Source organism: Homo sapiens, chromosome 19, assembly GCF_000001405.40.
Source record: "Homo sapiens chromosome 19, GRCh38.p14 Primary Assembly".
In the NCBI taxonomy this organism is placed as follows: Eukaryota; Metazoa; Chordata; class Mammalia; order Primates; family Hominidae; genus Homo; species Homo sapiens.
In genome coordinates, this window is record NC_000019.10 from 45,793,793 (window position 1) to 45,815,394 (window position 21,602).

The 21,602-nt window shown below is 52.6% G+C and overlaps 1 protein-coding gene across 2 annotated transcripts, besides 5 other annotated features; it reads right to left on the reverse strand.

Annotated features, from left to right (window-relative positions):
* Positions 1-1,920: 1,920 nt before the first annotated feature.
* RSPH6A (radial spoke head 6 homolog A) lies at positions 1,921-21,516 on the reverse strand. 2 transcript variants are annotated; one of them, NM_030785.4, is made up of 6 exons: positions 20,735-21,516; positions 16,811-17,048; positions 10,460-11,224; positions 8,328-8,472; positions 6,654-6,771; positions 1,921-2,314 (listed from the first exon to the last, which is right to left on the reverse strand). In NM_030785.4, the coding sequence occupies exons 1-6, from the start codon at positions 21,382-21,384 to the stop codon at positions 2,077-2,079; spliced, it is 2,154 nt and encodes a 717-aa protein (NP_110412.1). In that variant the 5' UTR covers positions 21,385-21,516; the 3' UTR covers positions 1,921-2,076. The 2 variants fall into 2 exon arrangements, with proteins under 2 accessions (NP_110412.1, XP_011525653.1); XM_011527351.3 differs by having other exon boundaries at positions 2,222-2,333.
* Positions 7,093-7,954: an enhancer, noted in NCBI's record as "H3K4me1 hESC enhancer chr19:46304143-46305004 (GRCh37/hg19 assembly coordinates)". NCBI's record gives its function as "activates a minimal SCP1, AML or CMV promoter by ChIP-STARR-seq in naive H9 embryonic stem cells {active_cell/tissue: H9 hESC(naive)}" and the evidence as "EXISTENCE:reporter gene assay evidence [ECO:0000049][PMID:30033119]".
* Positions 15,592-16,460: an enhancer, noted in NCBI's record as "H3K27ac-H3K4me1 hESC enhancer chr19:46312642-46313510 (GRCh37/hg19 assembly coordinates)". NCBI's record gives its function as "activates a minimal SCP1, AML or CMV promoter by ChIP-STARR-seq in naive H9 embryonic stem cells {active_cell/tissue: H9 hESC(naive)}" and the evidence as "EXISTENCE:reporter gene assay evidence [ECO:0000049][PMID:30033119]".
* Positions 15,592-17,328: a biological region, named in NCBI's record as "MED14-independent group 3 enhancer GRCh37_chr19:46313062-46314261".
* Positions 16,012-17,211: an enhancer, noted in NCBI's record as "MED14-independent group 3 enhancer chr19:46313062-46314261 (GRCh37/hg19 assembly coordinates)". NCBI's record gives its function as "activates an origin of replication core promoter dependent on BRD2, BRD4, P300/CBP and CDK7 cofactors, and independent of MED14, by STARR-seq in HCT116 cells {active_cell/tissue: HCT116}" and the evidence as "EXISTENCE:reporter gene assay evidence [ECO:0000049][PMID:35650434]".
* Positions 16,461-17,328: an enhancer, noted in NCBI's record as "H3K27ac-H3K4me1 hESC enhancer chr19:46313511-46314378 (GRCh37/hg19 assembly coordinates)". NCBI's record gives its function as "activates a minimal SCP1, AML or CMV promoter by ChIP-STARR-seq in naive H9 embryonic stem cells {active_cell/tissue: H9 hESC(naive)}" and the evidence as "EXISTENCE:reporter gene assay evidence [ECO:0000049][PMID:30033119]".
* Positions 21,517-21,602: the final 86 nt, after the last annotated feature.

Sequence of the window (21,602 nt, forward strand, 5' to 3'; positions counted from 1 at the left end):
CTATGAATTCACATCACTGCACTAAAGCCTGGGGGACAGAGTCAGACTCAGTCTCTCTAAAAAAAAAAAAAAAAGAAAGAAAAAAGAATCCTACAATGAAATTGACGTCTTACACCAAATCCTCCACCTCTCTTGCATCCCCACCTTAGGGCTAGCTCTGCCGTCCACTCAGTCAACCAGGCCACAGACCTGGGTGTCTTCCTAGATGTGTACCATTTATCTTCACTCTGCCCCCGCTTACAGCCTCCAAGTCTTTTGCATTCGACCACGTGGAATTCCTCTTTCTCAGTTCCTTGTTCTCCCTGATCCAAGCTTCTCCTCTACCCAAGCCCTTCCCCCACCCCCACATCAACCGTGTCTCTTGGTCTCCCAGATTTCTGTCTCACCCCCACTTCCACCTTTCACTTGGCATGTAGAGAGGTTTTATTTTGTTTTTGTTTTTGTTTTTTTTGAGACAGTCTCACCCTGTCACCCAGGCTGGAGTGCAATGGCTCCATCTCGGCTCAGAGACGGGGTTTCACCATGTTGGCCAGTCTGGTCTCGAACTCCTGACCTCAGGTGATCCACCCACCTCGGCCTCCCAAAGTGCTGGGAGTACAGGCATGAGCCACTGCACCCGGCTTTTTTTTTTTTTTTTTTTTTTTTTGAGACAGAGTCTCGCTCTTGTCACGTGGGCTGGAGTGCAATGGGACGATTTTGGCTCACTGCAACCTCTGCCTCCTGGGTTCAAGTGATTCTCCTGCCTTAGCCTCCTGAGTGGCTGGGATTACAGGCACCTGCCACCACACCCAGCTACTTTTTTGTAGTTTTAGTAGAGACGGGGTTTCACCATGTTGGGCATGCTGGTCTCAAACTCCTGACCTCAGGTGATCCGCCAACCTTGGCCTCCCTAAGTGCTGGGATTACATGTGTGACCCACTGCACTAGGCCTAGAGAGGTCTTTCTAAAGCATGAATATGATCAGGGCCCTCCCCTGCTCAAAACCCATCTGTAGCTCCCTAGTGCTCTCAGGGGAAAGTTAAGCCCCAAGTGATCTGGCCCCTGCCAACCTCTTTTCAATCTCATATCTCACCACTAACTCCTCACACTATCCACCACCTAAAATGAGGCTTGAAAAACTACCCCAACATATCACACTCTCTCTTGTCCTTGGGTCTTTGCACATTCTGTTCCCTATTCTTGGAATGCCTTTCCCCATTCTTTTCTTGACCCTTTAAGAGTTGGCTCGGGAGCTCTGTCAGTCCTCTGGGCTTCCCCATTTGGGCTGTCACTGTCTGGAAATGAGTCTCTCTCCCTATAGTGTTGTGAGGTCCAGGAAGGCAGGACTGCAGCTGTCTGTGTCCCCAGCACAGGGGTGGGCTGACAGGAGGTATTTCAATAATGGTTTGATGGCTAGGTAAATGAATAAATAAAACAGGTGGGGCTGGTCGCGGTGGCTCACAGCTGTATCCTAACACTTTGGGAGGCCAAGACAGGCAGATCGCTTGATGCCAGGAGTTCAAGACCAGCTTGGGCAACATAAACCCCATCTCATAGTGAGACTCTGAAAAATTGAAAAAATTTAGCTGGGCATGGTGGGCTGTGCCTGCAGTCCTAGTTACTCAGGACCCTGTCTCTACAAAAAATACAAAAATTAGTGTATGTGGTGATGTGCACCTGCGGTCTCAGCTACTCCGGAGGCTGAGATGGGAGGACTGCTTGAGCCCAGGAGGTCAAGGCTGCAGGGAGCTGAGATTGTGCCACTGTACTCTAACCTGGGTGACAGAATGAGACCCTGTCTCAAACAACAACAACAAAAACCAAACAGGTGGGAGAGACTCTGCCAGGCAATGTCTGTGCTCTCTGCAGGGCCCAACAGCCCTGGCTTGGAGTCCATGTCAACAGAGGTGGTGAACAAATGAATGAATGGCTCATCCATAATGCCGTGGAGGAATTTTATTTGAAGCAGTTGCCTTCCTTTTCTATCCCTGCCCTCTGGGGACAGGAAGCACATAGTGAAAATATAATCCATGCTAACTACCTCTAAGGGGAAATTTGCTATCTACCTGCTTGGGGAAAGTGGCTAGAGGGTGGGCCTCAGTCATCTGTCTCCTCGCCCTCCTCCTCCTCCTCGCCCTCCTCCTCCTCCTCTGTGGCTCCCAGGGCTTGTTCCTGGGCTGCTTTCAGAGCCTGCTCCTCTTCCACTGTGGGGTCACTCATCTCCATGATCTCTGGGCCACTGGGGTACTCTTGTTGAATGGGGGCTGGCAGGGCCGGGTTGAAGCTCTCGGGGCTGTACTTGTGACCCCAGCCGATGTAGATGTTCTCAAACTTTCTGGAGAAGCAGTGAGACACTGTGAAATTCTCCCTCAAAGGCCCCAGACTTGACTTTTTTTTTTTTTTTTTTGAGATGGAGTCTTACTCTGTTGCCTAGTGCAGTGGTGTGATCTCGACTTACTGCAACCTCTGCCTCCCAGGTTCAAGCGATTCTCCTGCCTCAGCCTCCCATGTAGCTGGGACTACAGGCACGCGTCACTACGCCCAGCTAATTTTTGTATTTTTGGTAGAGATGGGGTTTCACCATGTTGGCCAGTGTGGTCTGGAACTCCTGACCTCATGATCTGCCCGCCTCGGCCTCCCAAAGTGCTGGGATTACAGACGTGAGCCACCGCACCTGGCCAGCCTTGACTTTCTTTAAGGGTAGGACCCAGCATGTGCATAGCATGACTGCAAAGTTGTGGATGGCAGGGTGAAATGTGCTCACTGGGTTCCTCTGTATTACCCAGGCTGGATGCAAACTCCACCTCCTGGGTTCACTGCAAAATCTGCCTCCTGGGTTCAAGTGATTCTCCCACCTCAGCTTCCCAAGTAGCTGGGACTACAGGCACACACCACCTCGCCCAGCTAATTTTTATATTTTTAGTAGAGACGGGGTTTCACCATGTTAGCCAGGCTGGTCTCAAACTCCTGACCTCAAGTGATCTGCCTGCCTCAGCCTCCCAAAGTGCTGGGATCACAGGCATGAGCCACCATGCCTGGCCTAATTTTTGTATTTTTAGTAGAGAGGGGGTTTCATCATGTTGGCCAGGCTGGTCTTGAACTCCTGACATCAAGTGATCTGCCGCCTCCACCTCCCAAAGTTTAAAAATTAGCCAGTTGCAGTAGCACGTACCTGTGGTTCCAGCTACTGGGGAGGCTGAGGGGGGAGGATTGCCGGAGCCCAGGAGTTTGAGGCTGCAGTAAGTTGTGATCATGCCACTGCACTCCAGCCTGAGTGACAGAGTGAGAACGTATCTCAAAATAAATCAAGAAATAAGTAACTAGGCTGGACGCAGTGGCTCACGCCTGCAATCCCAGCACTTTGGGAGGCCGAGGCGGGCGGATCACAAGGTCAGGAGATCGAGACCAGCCTAGCTAACACGGTGAAACCCCGTCTCTACTAAAAATACAAAAACAAAATCAGTGGGGCGTGGTGGCAGGCGCCTGTAGTCCCAGCTGCTGGGGAGGCTGAGGCAGGAGAATGGCGTGAACCCTGGGAGGCGGAGCTTGCAGTGAGCCAAGATCGCGCCACTGCACTCCAGCCTGGGTGACAGAGTGAGACTCTGTCTCAAAAAAAAAAAAAAGAAATAAGTAACTAAAAATAACAAAAAAAATTAAATTATATATGTGGCTCATATTTTATTTATGTGAGACATAATTTTATGTTGGATATCAATTTATTTATATTGTGACACTTTATTTATGTCCAACATATCATGTGGGACATAAATAAAATTGTCTAGGTGCTGGGGACACAGCAGTAAACAAACTAGACAAAACTCCCTGCCAGGTGCGGTGGTTCAGGCCTGTAATCCCAGCACTTTAGGAGGCCGAGGTAGGAGGATCAACTGAGGTCAGGGGCTCGAGACCACCCTGGTGAAACCACATCTCTACAAAAAATACAAAAATTAGCTGGGCGTGGTAGTGGGCGCCTGTAGTCCCAGCTACTCAGGAGGCTGGGGCATAAGAATCACTTGAACCCAAGAGGTGAAGGTTGCAGTGAGCTGAGATCACACCACTGTACTCCAGCCTGGGCGACACAGCGAGACTCCATTTCAAAAAATAAAAAAAAAATCCCTGGGTTGTGCCTACATTCTGCTAAGAGGAGACTGATAATGAACAAGGAGGTAAGTGCCCAGGCATAACCCAGCGAATTCAGCCTTTCTGCAGAATTTTAACTAGAGAAGGAAGAGGAATAGATGGGAGGAAAGGGAGGGGACTAAGAGGTAGGGAGAGAGGGAGACAGAGACTGATAAAGAGGCAGAGAGAGCCAAGCATGGTGGCCCACGCCTGTAATCCCTGCACTTTGAGAGGCTGAGGTGGGTGGATCACCTGGTCAGGAGTTCGAGACCAGCCTGGCCAACATGGTGAAACCCCATCTCTACTAAAAATACAAAAATTAGCTGGGCACGGTAGTGCATGCCTGTAATCCCAGCTACTAGGGGGGCTGAGGCAGGAGGACGGCTTGAACCTGGGAGGCGGAGGATGCAGTGAGTTGAGATCGCACCACTAAACTCCAGCCTAGGCAACAAAATAAGACTCCATCTCAAAAAAAAAGAAAAAAGAAAAAATTTAAAAATGAGGCCAGGCACAGTGGCTCACGTCTGTAATCCTAGTATGTTGGGAGGCTGAGGTGGGAGGATTGCTTGAGGCCAGGAGGTGGAGGCTGCAGTGAACCGTGATCACGCCACTGCACTCCAGCCTGGGTGACAGAGAGAGACCCTATCTCAAAAAAAAAAAAAAAAAGGCCAGGCGCGGTGGCTCACGCCTGTAATCCCAGCCCTTTGGGAGGCCGAGGTGGGCGGATCATGAGGTCAGGAGATTGAGACCATCCTGGCTAACACGGTGAAACCCCGTCTTTACTAAAAATACAAAAAAATTAGCTGGGCATGGTGGCGAGCACCTGTAGTCCCAGCTACTTGGGAAGCTGAGGCAGGAGAATGGCATGAACCCGGGAGGCGGAGGTTGCAGTGAGCCGAGATCGCGCCACTGCACTCCAGCCTGGGCAACAGAGCGAGACTCTATCTCAAAAAAAAAAAAAAGAAAGAAAAGAAAAACAAAAACAATGGAACAATGGGTGGACACAGATTGGGTGGGGGACAGAAGAGCGTTGGGTGGGTGGGGGCAGAGGATGGATGGACAAGTGGAGCCTCAAGTTTGTATCATTTGCTTTCAGAGGAATGTTGGCATATCAGGGTATAGCCTGAAGAAGGGAGTTGGCAAAAGCAAACGTGCCTCTTCCCAGCTTCCAGAGAAGGAAAAAATAAATGCCAGGAATGTGTTAAAGTATCCAGATTACATGCAATCCCACCACGGCTGTGATTCATACAGGAGCGAATACAGTCCCAGTTCACATTGAGATTAAAAACGAAATTCTAGGAAAAATCATCATGCCATCTGGTGGACAAAGCTGGTAGGTGCGCCCACCTCCAGCGGCAAACCCCCTGTCACGCAGCAGGGCAGAGGGCTGCCAGGTGCCTGCGGGGGAAGGCTGAAGGACTGTGGGGAGTGTGTAGCTGGGTGGGAGGATGTAGGAGTGACTTTGGCTTGCCATTCTTGTTTGTTTTTTGAGACAAGGTCTTGCTCTGTTGCCCAGACTGGAGTGCAGTGGTGCAATCACAGCTCACTGCAACCTCGATCTCCTGGGCTCAAGCAATCCTTCTGCCTCAGCCCCCTAAGTAGCTGGGACTCTGTAGTCCGTGCCATCATGCCGGGCTGATTTTAAAAATTTTTTTAATTTTTTTTTTTGTACAGATAGTGTCTTACTGTGTTCCTCTCGCTGGTCTCAAGCTCCTGGGCTCAAGCAATCCTCCCACCTTGGCAACCCAGAGTGCTGGGATTACAGGCATGAGCCAGTGCACCTGGCCCAAGCTTGCCATTCTTTTTGGAACAACTGGTGGTGGGAGGGAAGGTTTCTGCCCCATAGAGAGAAAAGCCTTCCAACTGGAAGAACAGGCCGGGTGCGGTGGCTCATGCCTGTAATCCTAGCACTTTGGGAGGCCAAGGCGGGCAGATCACTCGAGGTCAGGAGTCTGAGACCAGCCTGGCCAACATGGTGAAATCTTGTCTCCACTAAAAATACAAAAATTAGCCAGGCATGGTGGCATGCATCTGTAGTCCCAGCTACTAGGGAGGCTGAGGGAGGAGAATCACTTGAACCTGGGAGGCGGAAGTTTCAGTGAGCTGAGATCGCACTACTGCACTGTTGCCCAGCCTGGGTGACAGAGCGAGACTCCATCTCAAACAAAACAAAACAAAACCACAAACAAGAAGAACTGTCCAGGGGACCCCAGGGACGGAGTTAGCTCCTCCAGAGAGGGATTCTGCTGCTGTCATCAGGGGGCTGGAGATCCAGGTTCGTATCCTGCAAGTGCTGTGTGACCATAGCCAGTCCCTCCCACTCTCTTATTCTCCTTGCTCTCATCATGACTCATCACCAAGACCCATCCTAGTGGGCTGGTATTTCCCACTTTAGCCCTGGTGAAACTCCTAGGAGCTATGAGGGCATTAGTCCTTGGGGCTTCCTGAAGGGGGCCCTCCCCATCTCTGCCCACCCTGGCGAGTTGCCCAGCCCAACCAGGCTTGAAGAAGTCCTGAGAGATTCTCCTGCTGGGAGGGGCTGGGGGAAGACCTACTTGCCACTGGCATAGGCATAGGCCCCGGGCCAGAGGTTGGAGCGCACAACGGCCACTGAGTACTGCGGGCAGAGGCTGCAGGACAGGCGGGTGGTCCAGGGTGCCAGGTGCATGATTTCTGTGGTGGAGAGGCAGCAGAGGGGGGCAGCAGGGTCAGGGAGGCCCCCAGGCCCTGCACTGCACCCTGAAGGAAGGAAGGCAGCAGTGAGGGAGGCCTGGAGGGGCATGAGGGGAACTATAGCCACCAACAGCTCGGGCTGCGGTGTTTGAACCCTCGCTGCAGACCACACACACACACACACACACACACACACACACACACACACACACTCTCTCTCTCTCTCTCGCTCTCTTTTTTTTTTTTTTGGAGACAGAGTCTCGTCGCTTTGTCACTCAGGCTGCAGTGCAGTGGTGTGAGCTCGACTCACTGCAACCTCTGCCTCCCAGGTTCAAACGACTCTCCTTCCTCAACCTCCCGAGTAGCTGGGATTACAGGCATGCACCACCACGCCCGGCTAATTTTTGTATTTTTAGTAGAGACAGGGTTTCACCATGTTGGCCAAGCTGGTCTCGAACTCCTGACCTCAGGTGATCCACCCGCCTCAGCCCCCCAAAGTGCTGGGATTACAGGCGTGAGCCACCTCGCCTGGCCTGGACCACTCTTTCTCTATGTGGCCCCAGGAAGCCAGTTCACCTGTCTGAGCCTCAGTGGCTGCACCCAGGAAATGGGGAGACTCATCTGGCCTTTGTTGCAGGGTGGCAGTGAAGCCTGGTGACAAGGTCTGCAGCACACCTGCTGCAGTGCCTGGCGCCCAGCAGGGCCTCCAGACTGGGAAGCCACTGTGATTCCACTCCCGAGTTGGTCATCGGTTTGGACCAGGGTGCAGAGGGAAGGGCACAGGCTGGCAGGATCTGGCTTCAAATCCAGGACCTGTCCCCTGGCCCACTCCTAGCCTCTCTCTCCACTTCCCTCCGGGTGCCTGAGGCCCCAACCTTAAAAAATTCCTGTCCATTCATCCAAAATCCAGCTCCAGGTTGGGCACAGTGGCTCCTGCCTGTAATCCCAGCACTTTGGGAGGCCGAGTAAGGTGGATCACTTGAGGCCAGGAGTTCGAGATCAGCCTGGCCAACATGGTGAAACCCCATCTCCACTAAAAATACAAAAGTTATCTGGGCGTGGTGGCACACGCCTGCAATCCAGCTACTCAGGAGGCTGAGACGGGAGAATTGCAGGAACCCGAGAGGTTGAGGTTGCAGTGAGCCAAGATTGCACCACTACACCCTAGCCTGGGTGACAGAGCTGGACTCCATCTCAAAACAACAACAATGACAACAACACCACCACCACCACACACACACACACACACATACACACACATGCACACACACACCCAGCTCCAGTCTTTAGGCAGGGTTCCCCAACTACATCCCCTTCCCTCCAGGCCCAAACTCAAAAGGCCATATCCTAAGGTTTAGGCCATTGCCACGTGTCTATGGACATGTTCCCAGAACCTCCTGATGGGGCCACTGTGATTACACCCATTTTTTAGCTGAGAGAGCCTCTGAGCCTGGGAGGGAAGGACCGGGGAGATGGACCCCAGCAGTCCAGCCACCCCTCCCTTTCTTCCCAGCCCTCCCCAGCCAGTGGTGTACAGGCTGAGAGGGCTTCCTTACCTGCATCTTCTGAAAGTGGCGTTAGCAGTGGGGGGCCAACCTCCTGCTCCACCTCCTCTGGCCCCTCATCTGCCTTCTCTTCCTCCTCCCCCAGGTCCTCCTCCTCCTCTGTCTTCTGCAAAGGGTTCACCCAAGTGCAGCGGCCCTGGGGGTGGGGGGAAGCTCAGGTGATGGCCCCAGTGCACGGAACCCAGCCTGCCTCCTGTGGGGGAGGTGAAGGGCCAACAGGCATAGCCTTGTCCTCAGAGACCCAGGCACAGGCAAGAGGGCAAGATTTAGCCGCACAGCTAAGGGGAGGTGGGAAACGGGCTGACAGAACTGCTGTGTTGAGGTGAGGACTCCTGACTGTGCGACCCCCATTCATGCATTCATTCACTCATTGAATTTTTTTTTTTTTTTTTTTTTGAGATGGAGTTTTACTCTGTGGCCCAGGCTGGAGTGCAGTGGCACAATCTTGGCTCACTGCAACCTCTGCCTCCCGGTTTAAGTGATTCTCCTGCGTCAGCCTCCTGAGTAGCTGGGATTACAGGTGCCTGACACCACGCCTGGCTAATTTTTGTATTTTTTAGTAGAGACGGGGTTTCACCAAGTTGGCCAGGCTGGTCTCGAACTCCTGACCTCAAATGATCCACCCGCCTTGGCCTCCCAAAGTGCTGGGATTACAGGTGCGAGCCATTGCACCTGGCCCACTCATTGATTCTTTTCTTTTTTTTTTTTGAGATGGAGTCTGGCTCTGTCGCCCAGGCTGAAGTGCAGTGGCTCACTGAAAGCTCCGCCTCCTGGGTTCACGCCATTCTCCTACCTCAGCCTCCCAAGCAGTGGCTTACGCCTGTAATCCCAGCACTTTGGGAGGCTGAGGCGGGCGGATCACGAGGTCAGGAGATAGAGACCATCCTGGCTAACACGGTGAAACCCCATCTCTACTAAAACTACAAAAAAAATAGCCGGGCATGGTGGCGGGCGCCTGTAGTCCCAGCTACTCAGGAGGCTGAGGCAGGAGAATGGCGTGAACCTAGGAGGCAGAGCTTGCAGTGAGCCGAGATCACGCCACTGCACTCCAGCCTGGGCAATAGAGCGAGACTCCGTCTCAGAAAAAAAAAAAAAAAAAGCCAGGCATAGTTGTGGTGGTATGTGCCTGTAGTCCTAACTACTCGGGAGGCTAAGGTGGGAGGATTGCTTGAGCCCTGGAGGTCAGGGTAGCAGTGAGTTATGATCTCATCACTGCACGCCAGCCTGGGCAACAAAGCAAGTTGCTATGTCTTAAAAGAAAAAAAAAGCTGGGCATGGTGGCTCATGCCTGTAATCCCAGCACTTTGAGAGGCTGAGGCGGGCAGATCACCTGAGGTCAGGAGTTTGAGACCAGCCTGACCAACATGAAGAAACCCTGTCTCTCCTAAAAGTACAAAATTAGTTGGGCGTGATGGCACATGCCTGTAATCCCAGCTACTTGGGAGGCTGAGGTGGGAGAATTCGCTTGAACTAGGGAGGCGGAGGTTGCGGTGAGCCGAGATCACGCCATTGTACTCCAGCCTGGGCAACAAGAGCGAAATTCTGTCTCAAAAAGAAAAGAAAAGAAAAAAAAAAAAAACCAGCCAGGGCGCAGTGGCTCATGTCTATAATCCTAGCACTTTGGGAGGCCAAGGTAGGCAGATTGTCTGAGCTCAGGACTTTGAGACCAGCTTGGGCAACACAGTGAAACCTCATCTCTACTAAAATACAAAAAATTAGCCAGGTGTGGCAGCGTGTGCCTGTAATCCCAGCTACTCAGGAGGCTGAGGCGGGACAATCGCTTGAACCCAGGAGGTGGAGGTTGCAGTGAGCCGAGATCGTACCACTGCACTCCATCCTGGGTGACAAGAGCGAGACTCTGTCTCAAAAAAAAAAAAAGAAAAGAAAAGAAAAGAAAAAGAAAAAAAAGAAGAAAGAAAGAAAAGAAAAAAAAATGCCTCTGTCCCCAAAGGTTTCTGATGGGATTATCCGCTAATATCTGTTGAACCAATGAATGGATGGATGAATGAACGAATGAATATTAGTTGCCCAGCAGAGAGTAAGAGCTTGATGTCAGTATTGCAGGGTCATGCGTGAGCCCCCTGCTCCTGCCGTTTGTGAGAGGCGGGAGTCCCGGCGCTCACCTGCGGCAGGATGTGCTGTGTGTGATGCACCCAGTTGGCCATGGAGTCGACCAGCTCCAGCACGGGGATGCCCTCGAAGTCCGGGTTCTCCTCGTAGGAGTCGCGCCCAGCACCACCTTCCTCCTCCTCGTCGCCCTCCTCCTCACTAAACTGGTAGAAGCCCAGCGGGCTGACCTGCGTGGCGGCCGAGATGCGGGCTATCTGGGCCCGCAGGTAGTTGGCCTCGTTGCCCGGGAAGGGTGGGTAGCTGACGACTGGCGTGTCCAGGTAGCCTGTGAAGAACTTCTTGATCTTTCGGGCGTTCACGATCTGGGCTGGAGTGACGTGGGGCAGCCGCGTCCATGGCAGGCCCGGCTCGTTGCACACAAAGTACAGGTACTTGTTGGCGCCTGAGCGGCTCTCCTCCTTGGGGATCACGGGCGGCGGCTTCCATACGGACTTAGGGACGATGTCCACGGCCTTCTCCTCGTCCTCCTCGCCCTCCTCCTCGCCGTGCGCCTCCATGACCTCGCCACCTTCCGTCATCTCCTCCACCTCCTCCTCCTCTGCCTCCTCCTCGCCCTCCCGGAATTCCACCTCGGCCACCAGGTAGCTGCGTTTGATTCCCAGGATCTTGCCCCAGAAGCGACAGGTGTGGATGGGCTGCTGCTCCACCAGCTGTTTCATGGCCAGGAAAATGCGGAAGCTCTCGTCCGAGCTCAGGCCGACGCCGGCCTGCTCGAAGTAGAAGGCAGTCTCCATGATGTTGGGCACTGGTGTCTCCCCCTGCGCAGGGTAGGGTGGAGGGCAGAGGGGAGAATGCTGAAGCTCTGCTCCCTAGCCTACCTCTTCCAGACTCTTCTAGAGTCAAGAGAGCTAAAAGAGGCCGGGTGCAGTGGCTCACGCCTGTAATCCCAGCACTTTGAAAGGCCGAGGCTGGCTGATCACTTGAGGTCAATAATTCGAGTCCAGCCTGGCCAACATGGTGAAACTCTGTCTCTACTAAAAATACAAAAATTAGCCAGCCATAAAAGCAGGTGCCTGTAATACCAGCTACCCAGGAGACTGAGGCAGGAGAATCACTTGAACCGGGGAGGCGGAGGTTGCAGTGAGCTGAGATTGCTCCACGCACTCCAGCCTGAGCAACAAAGTGAGACACGGTCTCAAAAAATAAAAAGAGGCCTGATGTGGTGGCTCACGCCTGAAATCCCAGCACTTAGGGAGGCCAAGGCAAGCAGATCACCTGAGGTCAAGAGTTTGAGACCAGCCTGGCCAACATGGTGAAACCCCGTCTCTACAAAAAATACAAAAATTAGGCAGGCGTGATGGCAGGCACCTGTAATCCTAGCTATTTGGGAGGCTGAGGCAGGAGGATCGCTTGGACCTGAGAGGCGGAGGTTGCAGTAAGCCAAGATCACACCACTGCACTCCAGCCTGGGTGATAGAGTGAGACTCCCACTCAAAAAAAAAGAGAAAGAAAGAAAGAAAGAAACCTAAAAGATTCTGTAACTCAGCTGCTCAGGCCACTTGTGCTGGCCAGTGAGATGTAGGGAAAGCCCTTGGACAGGATGTCCCTGATGGAGAAGAAAAGGGAAAACCACACTAGGAGAAAATTTTTCTTGCCTTTTGTCATTCCCTATTCTTCCTGCCTGGAATGGGGATATAAGATCTGGAGCCACAGCAGCTATCTTGGGACCATGAGGCAACACATGGGAGACAAAGTACTACACCCTTAATGGTGGTGGAGATGAAAGGTGGAAATTGCCTGGTCCCCAGTAGCATTGCTCAGCTGCCTTACCCACCCTGACCTTCTTGCTCCTGTAACAAAGAAGCCACTTTTATTCATGATTTCTGTGACTTGAGGCCCAATGCACTCCTAACACATACTCCATGTTTCACAGAAAGTTAAGGGAGAAGACAGGTCTCGAACGGAGGAGTCAGTGATGTTAGAGGATGGTAATAAGTCCTGTCTTCACTGCCTCCATCTATACCGTGTGCTTGATTCACACAGCCAGAGGATGGGTGGGGTGGAGGAGAAGAAAGAAGGAGAGGAGGAGGAGGAAAAAGAGGAAGAAGGAAAGAAAGAGAAAGACAGAAAGACAGAGGCTCAGAAAGGGACTGAAGGCAAGCAGGCTGAAACTAGAAGCCAGCAAAGTTTATGGCTGGGCGCAGTGATTCACGCCTGTAATCCCAGCACTTTGGGAGGCCAAGGCAGGGAAATCACAAGGTCAGGAGATCGAGACCATCCTGGCCAACATGGTGAAATCTGGTCTCTACTAAAAATACAAAAATTAGCTGGGTGTGGTGGTGGGCGCCTGTAGTCCCAGCTACTCGGAAGGCTGAGGCAGGAGAATGGCATGAACCTGGGAGGTGGAGCTTGCAGTGAGTGGAGATTGCACCACTGCACTCCAGCCTGGGTGACAGAGTGAGACTCTGTCTCAAAAAAAAAAAAAAAAAAAAAAAAAAAAAAAAAAAAAAGGAGGCCGGCCAAGTTTTGGCTCAGAAGCCAGAGAAAGAAGAAGTGTAATGTACATCTGCACGGGCCACACACCAATGCTCTTCCTTCTCCCAGGGAAATGCCTGCCAGCCCCTATCCATGTGGCCACAAGGCTGTCCCCAACACTTTATTATTCAACCAGTCCCAAAATCTTTATTATTTATTTATTTATTATCATTATTTTTGAGACAGAGTCTTGCTCTGTCACCCAGGCTGGAGTGCAGTGATCTGATCTCAGCTCACTGCAACCTCCACTCCTGGGTTCAAGCCATTCTCCTGCCTCAGCCTCCCCAGTAGCTGGGATTATAGGCGTGCACCACCACACCCAGCTAATTTTTGTATTTTTAGTAGAGATGGGGTTTCACCATGTTGGCCAGGCTGGTCTCGAACTCCTGACCTCGTGATCCGCCCGTCTTGGCCTCCCAAAATGCTGGGATTACAGGCCTGAGCCACTGTGCCTGGCATATTATTATTATTTTTTAAAAATTATTATTATTATTATTTTTGATACAGAGTCTTGCTCTGTCGCCCAGGCTGGAGTGCAGTGGCGCAATCTCAACTCACTGCAAGCTCCGCCTCCCGGGTTCACGCCATTCTCCTGCCTCAGCCTCCCAAGTAGCTGGGACTACAGGCGCCCACCACCATGCCCGGCTAATTTTTTGTATTTTAAGTGGAGACAGGGTTTCACCATGTTAGCCAGGATGGTCTTGATCTCCTGATCTTGTGATCCACCCACCTTGGCCTCCCAAAGTGCTGGGATTACAAGCGTGAGCCACTGCGCCCGGCCCATTACTATTTTTTGAGACGGAGTCTCGCTCTGTTGCCCAGGCTGGAGTGCAGTGGCACAATCTCGGCTCACTGCAACCTCTGCCTCCAGGATTCAAGCGATTCTTCTGCCTCAGCCTCCTGAGTAGTCGGGACTACAGGTGCACACCACCACGCCAGGCTAATTTTTGTATTTTTAGTAGAGACAGGGTTTCACCATGTTGGCCATGCTGGTCTCGAACTCCTGACCTCAGGTGATCTGCCCGCTTTGGCCTCCCAAAGTGCTGACATAACAGGCGTGAGCCACTGCACCCAACCAGTGATGGGATTTATAACCAAGATACTGTGATGCTGAAAACAGCTCTCTTTGTTTAGGGACAGCTAGGGAGCCTGGGAGTGTGGGGAATAGGCAGCTCTCAGTGCCCTTCACTGCAGAGCCACCTTGCAAGACTAGGACCTTACCAGTCCTAGACTACACCTGACGATTCTGTGTGAGAAAAATGACCAACTCATCCAAGTCACTTATTTCTATTTATCTGACATCATCTATATCCTAACTTAAAGGGACCTATGTTGTCAAACAAGTAAAATAAGGTGTTAGTTTTTGGAATGTGCCAAAATAATCCTAAAGTTAGTCTAAAATTATAGATGTGGGCGGGCGCCATGGCTCACGCCTGTAATCCCAGCACTTTGGGAGGCCGAGGCGGACAGATCACCTGAGGTCAAGTGTTCGAGACTAGCCTGGTCAACGTGGCAAAATCCTGTCTCTACTAAAAATACAACAAATTAGCCAGGCGTGGTGGCACAGCCTGTAGTCCCAGCTACTCGGGAGGCTGAGGCAGGAGAATAGCTTGAACCCTGGAGGCAGAGGTTGCAGTGAGCTGAGATCGTGCCACTGCACTCCAGCCTGGGCGACAGAGCAAGACTCCGTCTCAAAAACAAGAACAAAAATTAGCCAGGCATGGTGGCGGGCACCTGTAATCCCAGCTACTCGGGAGGCTGAGGCAGGAGAATCACTTGAACCTGGGAGGTGGAGGTTGCAGTGAGCTGAGTTCACACCACTGTATTCCAGCCTGCGTGACAGAATGAGACTCCATCTCAAAAAAAATGGAAAAAATAAAATAATAAAATAAAATTATAGATGTGAGAATAGTCAAAACTTATCTTTTTTTTTTTTTTTTTTTTTTTAGACAGACTCTCACTATGTTGCCCAGGCTGGAGTACAGAGGCTCAATCTCAGCCCACTGCAAGCTCCGCCTCCTGGGTCCATGCCATTCTCCCGCCTCAGCCTCCTGAGTAGCTGGGACTACAGGTGACCGCCACCACGCCTGGCTAATTTTGTTTTTGTATTTTTAGTAGAGACGGGGTTTCACCGTGTTAGCCAGGATGGTCTCGATCTCCTGACCTCAGGTGATCCACCTGCCTCGGCCTCCCAAAGTGCTGGGATTATAGGCGTGAGCCATCAAGCCCGGCCGAGAATAGTCAAAACTTTTCTTTTTTTTGTTTTTTGCTTTTTTTTTTTTTTTTGAGACGGAGTCTCGCTCTTTTGCCCAGGCCAGAGTGCAGTGGTGCAATCTCAGCTCACTGCAAGCTCCGCCCACCAGGTTCACGCCATTCTCCTGCCTCAGCCTCCCCAGTAGCTGGGACTACAGGCGCCTGCCTCCACGCCTGGCTAATTTTTTGTATTTTTACAAGAGATGGGGTTTCACTGTGTTAACCAGGATGGTCTCGATCTCCTGACCTCGTGATCCACCCGCCTCGGCCTCCCAAAGTGCTAGGATTACAGGTGTGAGCCACTGCGCCTGGCCTTTTTTTTTTTTTTTTTTTTTTGAGATGGAGTCTCGCTCTGTCGCCCAGGCTGGAGTGTAGTGGTGCGACCTCCCCTCACTGCAATGTCCACCTCCCAGTTTCACGCCATTCTCCTGCCTCAGCCTCCCTAGTAGCTGGGACTACAGGTGCCCGCCACCATGCCCGGCTAATTTTTTGTATTCTTAGTAGAGACAGGGTTTCACTTAGCCAGGATGGTCTTGATCTCCTGACCTCGTGAACCACCCGCCTCAGCCTCCCAAAGTGCTGGGATTACAGGCGTGAGCCACCGTGCCCGGCTAGTCAAAACTTTTCAAAACAGAGGTTCAGTGATGGGGAGAATTATGCTACCAAAACAGCAACACCTGCCGTGCAGCTGCTGTCAGCAGTAAACAGGAGAGTCCTAGAGCAGGAAGCCATCCACAGAGCAAAGGCCGGGAGCAGAGACTCCTGCAGGACCCTGTGTGGGGAGCAGATGGTGCAGGTGGCATTTCAAAGCAGTGGGGGGGCAGGAAGGAATGGTTTATTGCATAAATGCCATTCAAGGTCCTGGCTAGCCGTCTGGAAGACAGAAAACGAGAGAAATAAGAGCCTTGCCTTGACAGAAAAAGAAACACAAAATGCTGAATCATGCATTTTTTATGAGTCATTTCCTAGAAGCATGTACAGGCCACAAAAGCCCCCAGTTTTGCCCTTCCACAGACCCCACATTAAGAACTCCAGCTCTTGGCTGGGAGTGGTGGCTCACGCCTGTAATCCTAATACTTTGGGAGGCCGAGGCAGGAGGATGGCTTGAGGCCAAGAGTTCAAGACCAACCCGGCCAACATAGCAAGACCCCCATCTCAATTATTTTTATTTATTTATTTATTTTTATTTATTTATTTTTTTGAGACAGAGTCTCGCTCTGTTGCCCAGGCTGGAGTGCAGTGGTGTGATCTCGGCTCACTGCCAAGCTCCGCCTCCTGGGTTCATGCCATTCTCCTGCCTCAGCCTCCGGAGTAGCTGGGACTGCATGTGCCTGCTGCCACGCTTGGCTAATTTCTTATATTTTTAGTAGAGACGGGGTTTCATCATGTTAGCAAAGATGGTCTTGATCTCCTGACCTCGTGATCTGCCCACCTCGGCCTCCCAAAGTGCTGAGGTTACAGATGTAAGCCACCCCATCCTGCCAAGACTGAAGTTGTTTTGTGACTGGATTGTGCAATGCTGTCTTTCGCCTCCAGGCCTTGGCACAGGCTGTGCCCTAAGTATGCTTGGGCCCCCACTGACCCTGATGCCCACCTCTCCTGACTGGCTCACTCACCACCTCCTCCTCCATCTCCTGTTCGCCTTCAGTGCCGCCTCCACTCCGGGTGAACAGCGCCTTCTGTTTCTCCGCCATCTTGTAGGTGGGCTGCATCTCGGGGTCGTCCCGCAGCGTGTCCAGCTTGGGGTGGAACCACTCCCACTGCGTGGTGCGGTTCAGAGACTCCAGGACAGACAAGGGGTCCTCAGGCCGCTGGTTCAGGATCTTGGTCAGCAGATTCACCAGGTGCTCGTACCTGCCTCCCGCAGGAGGAGTGGGAGGAGAGGGACCTCACTCACTCAGCTCACTGAGCTGGCTCCCATGTGCCTGGCCCTGTGCCTGGTGCTGGGGACACAGTAGGGAACTGAAAAGGTCCCTGCCCAGGTGTAGCTGACATTTATTTATTTATTTTTATTTATTTAGTTTTTGAGATGGAGTCTTGCTCTGTTGCTCAGGCTGGAATGCAGTGGTTCATCTCGGCTCACTGCAACCTCTGCCTCCCGGGTTCAAATAATTCTCCTGCCTCAGCCTCCCGAGTAGCTGGGATTATAGGCGCCCGCCACCACGCCTGGTTACTTTTTGGATTTTTAGTAGAGACAGGGTTTCACCATGTTGGTCAGGCTGGTCTCGAACTCCTGACCTCGTGATCTGCCCGCCTCAGCCTCCCAAAGTGCTGGGATTACAGGCGTGAGCCACCGCGCCTTGCCGACATTCTTATGGTGGAAACAGACACTAATCAAACGAGCAAAATATATACAGTGTGTCAGGCATGGGGTGGTAATTTTTAGGGTGACACATATAGTACTGAATGGGGCCTGGGGGTGCCAGGGATGGGAGAAGGTTTGCAATTTTATTTTTTTAATTTATTTTTCAGAGGAGGTCTCGCTGTGTTGCCCAGGCTGGAGTGCAGTGGCACGACCTCAGCTCGCTGCAGTCTCTGTCTCCTGGGTTCAAGCGATTTTCCTGCCTCAGCCTCCCAAGTAGCTGGGATTACAGGCATGCACCACCATGTCCCGCTAATTTTTTTGTATTTTTTGTAGAGGGTTTCGCCATGGTGGCCAGGCTGGTCTCAAACTCCTGACCTCAGGTGATCCACCTTCTTCCGCCTCCCAAAGTGTTGGGATTACAGGCGTGAGCCACCGCACCTGGCCAACATTTGTATTATTATTATTATTATTATTATTATTATTATTATTATTATTATTAGAGACAGAGTTTTGCTTTGTTGCCCAGGCTGGAGTGCAGTGGTGTGATTTCGGCTCACCACAACCTCTGCCTCCTGGGTTCCTGGGTTCAAGTGATTCTCCTGCCTCGGCCTCCTGAGTAGCTGGGACTACAGGTGCACACCACCATCCCCGGCTAATTTTTGTATTTTTAGTAGAGACGGGGTTTCACTATGTTGGCCAGGCTGGTCTCGAACTCCTGACCTCAGGTGATCCGCCCGTCTTGGCCTCCTAAAGTGCTGGGTTAACAGGTGTGAACCACCGTGCCTGGCCAACATTTGTATTTTTTGTATTTTTTTTTTGAGACAGGGTCTCACTTTGTCACTCAGGCTGGAGTGCAGTGGCTCGGTCTTGGCTCACTGCAACCTCTGGTTCCCGGGTTCAAGTGATTCTCCCACCTCAGACTCCCCAGAGCTGGGATTACACGTGTGCCAACATGCCTGGCTAATTTTTGTACTTTTTGTAGAGATGGGGTTTTGCCATGTTGCCCAGGCTGGTCTCAAACTCCTGGACTCAAGTGATCTGCCTGCCTCAGCCTCCCCAACTGCTGGGATTACAGGCGTGAGCCACCAGGCCCGGCCACAGTCAGCCTTTGAAACCAAGTTGGTCTGATTTCCAAGCATGTATGTGTCACCTTTTGCTTTGCGGAAGCTGTTTTGTTGGCAGTCTTGGGTGTGGTGTTGGGCCATCATGGAAGTTGGGAAGGGTAAGAAGAGGTGAGACTTTGGCTAGGGCTTCTCAGGAAGAGAGCCTGAAGCTCTGAAGAGCTGGCACTTGGGGAATAGCCAGAGGTTAATTCTGACTAGATTCTAGGATCCGAGGAAGGAGCAGGTAGTGACTAGAAATCAAGTTTGGTCAGCGGCCAGGGGCTGAACCACGTAAGGCCTTTTGTTTGTTGGTTTGTTTGAGACAGAGTCTCGCTCTGTTGCTCAGGCTGGAGTGCACTGGCACGATCTTGGCTCACTGCAGCCTCTGCCTCCCGGTTCAAGTGATTCTCCTGCCTCAGCCTCCCGAGTAGCTGAGATCACAGGCGTGTGCCACCACGCCTGGCTAACTTTTTGTATTTTTAGTAGAGACAGGGTTTTGCCATGTTGGCCAGGCTGGTCTTGAACTCCTGACTTCGAGTTATCTGTCTGCCTCAGCCTCCCAAAGTGCTGGGATCACAGGCATGAGCAAGGCCTTATATGTCTCAGGCCAGGAGCCTTGAAGGTTGTGGTGAGGAGTCTGAGCTTCCCCCTGTGGGCAATGGGGAGCCATAGCAGGTTCTGAGCATTGGAGGGACACGGCCAGCTTTGTGCTTTAATAAGAACCATTACTTCATCAACCTCATTTCTCCCGCTCTCCCTCTTCCTCCCTTGGTTCCAGACACACCAGCCCCTCCTTACTGCTCCTCAAAAACAGCAAGCCTCAGAGCCTTTGCATTTGCAGTGTGCTCTGCCTGGCTCACTCTTCCTCCGGTCATCTGCAAGATGCTCTCCCTCGACTCCTTCAGGGCCCTAATCAAATGTCACCTCCTTGGACAGGCCTTCACTGACCCACACAATTTATTTTTTTGAGATGGAGTCTCGCTCTGTTGCCCAGGCTGGAGTGCAGTGGCACGATCTCGGCTCACTGCAACCTCTGCCGCCCGGGTTCAAGTGATTCTCCTGCCTCAACCTCCCGAGGAGCTGGGATTACAGGCCCATGCTACCATGCCCTGATAATTTTTGTATTTTTTAGTAGAGACAGGGTTTCGCCATGTTGGCAAGGCTGGTCTCGAACTCCTGACCTCAGGTGATCCGCCCGTCTTGGCCTCCTCAAGTGCTGGGATAACAGGCGTGAGCCACCGCACCTGGTTGGACCCCCACTATTTCATGTGTTCCCTAGCCCTCTTAGCCTCCCTTATTTTTCACCTGAGTCCTTAGCTTCAGTTTATCACTTTTTCTGTTTCTTGTCCACTCTCCTAGAATGAGAGCATCCTGGGTATCTAATGGAGGCTGAGAGCAGTGTTTTGTGACTGTAGCTAAGTGGCTTTGGCAAGTATCTTCCTCAGGCAGGGAGGTTTAGTTGCAGGATAAGAGGGTCTCAGGAGGGCTGGGCACGGTGGTTCATGCCTGCAATCCTAGCACTTTGGGAGGCTGAGATGGGCGGATCACTTGAGGTCGAGTTTGAGACTAGCCTGGGCAACATGGTGAAATCTTGCCTCTACTAAAAATACAAAAATTAGCTGGGTGAAGTGGAGCGCGCCTGTAACCCCAACTACTCGGGAGGCTGAAGCAGAAGAATCACTTGAACTTGGGAAGGAGAGGTTGCCCTAAGCCAAGACCACGCCACTGTGCTCCAGCCTGGGTGACAGGGTGAGACTATGTCTGGGGGAAAAAAAAAGCAAGAGGGCTTGGGGAGCCAAATCACGTGTTCTGGAATCCTGACTCTGCCATATCCTAGCTGTGTAGTTTTGGGTAAGCGACCCAACTTCTCTGTGTCTCGGTCTCCTCCTCTGTAAAGTAGGATGAGCTGATGTGCTCATCTCCGGTGAGAATTAGGTGAGTGTGTGCAGTGCCAGCACATGTCTGGGAAGTGAATGCTAGCTGTTGTTGGCATTGATTCCGACTCAGCTGAATTAGAGTCACTGGTTTTCCATGAGGGATGATCCCTTGTCTGACTGACTGAGGCAGGCACTTCGGGTGGGGCCCCTCCCTGCCTGGGTCCCCCACCCGCCCCACTCCTAGCCCCTGCTCACAGGCTGAGGTCGCAATTGATGCTGGTCTGCAGCAGGTAGGCCTTGGCGTTCTGCACGGCCAGCTCCAGAGGCTCGGGCTCAGGCACCTGGGCACTGTAGTGTGGGAAGCCCAGCTCAGAGGGCAAGAACTGAAGGGCAGGGTCATCCCTTATGTAAGGCCCGTGCTGGGCACCTTCAGAGAACTGGTCTGTCTGGTAGAGGTTGAACTGGCCCAAGGGGTTGACTGGGGGCTCCTGGAAGGTGGGGTCCAGTTGCTGGAACAGGCTGCTTTGGCCCTGCTGGAGCCGCTGCAGCATTAGGCTGGTGGTGAGCTCGGCGACCTGCATCCTGCTTTCATCAGAGTAAGGCTGAGGCTGGAACTCTGAGGGAAAGCCCGTGTTCACAGATGGGTACTCCATGCCACCCAGCCGGGCTTCCTCAGCCTGGAAGACCTGGGGCATCAGCAAGTTCTCCTGTTGGGACAGGCTGCCCCTCTGTGACCAACCAGGGGCGTTTCGCTGGGCGTCTGGAGGTATCTGCTGCCTCTCCTCGGGGTCCGCTGCCAGGGCCTGAGCTTGGTCCCGACTGTGCCGCCTCTGGGAGGCCTGAGAAGTCCTCCGGCCCGGAGGCTGCTGGGCAGGGCGCTCAGGGTAGGGCGGCAGGTCTCCCATGGTTCGCCAGGAGGCACAGATCTCTAGGAGAAAGGCTTGCAGACAAGGAGGCCAAGCGAGAGCCACCTGTCGACACCGCCGGTTTCTGAGCACCGAGAGAGGGGGCCGTTACCCGTGGAGGGCGCGGGGAGCGGGCCAGGGTGGGTTCCGCGCAGGCTCTGGGCGCGCACTCCCGATCCCGCGCAGCCCCACGGTGGACGTCGCGCCAGACTCGAGAC

What these genes read in the sequence shown, in the direction of transcription:
- RSPH6A (NM_030785.4), bottom strand. Translation starts at nt 21,384, where the DNA reads ATGGGAGACCTGCCGCCCTACCCTGAGCGCCCTGCCCAGCAGCCTCCG. An exon ending in ATCAATTGCGACCTCAGCCT is followed by an intron (nt 17,049 to 20,734) that starts GTGAGCAGGGGC and finishes TGCGGGAGGCAG; the next exon opens with GTACGAGCACCTGGTGAATC. An exon ending in GCCACTTTCAGAAGATGCAG is followed by an intron (nt 6,772 to 8,327) that starts GTAAGGAAGCCC and finishes TCTCCACCACAG; the next exon opens with AAATCATGCACCTGGCACCC.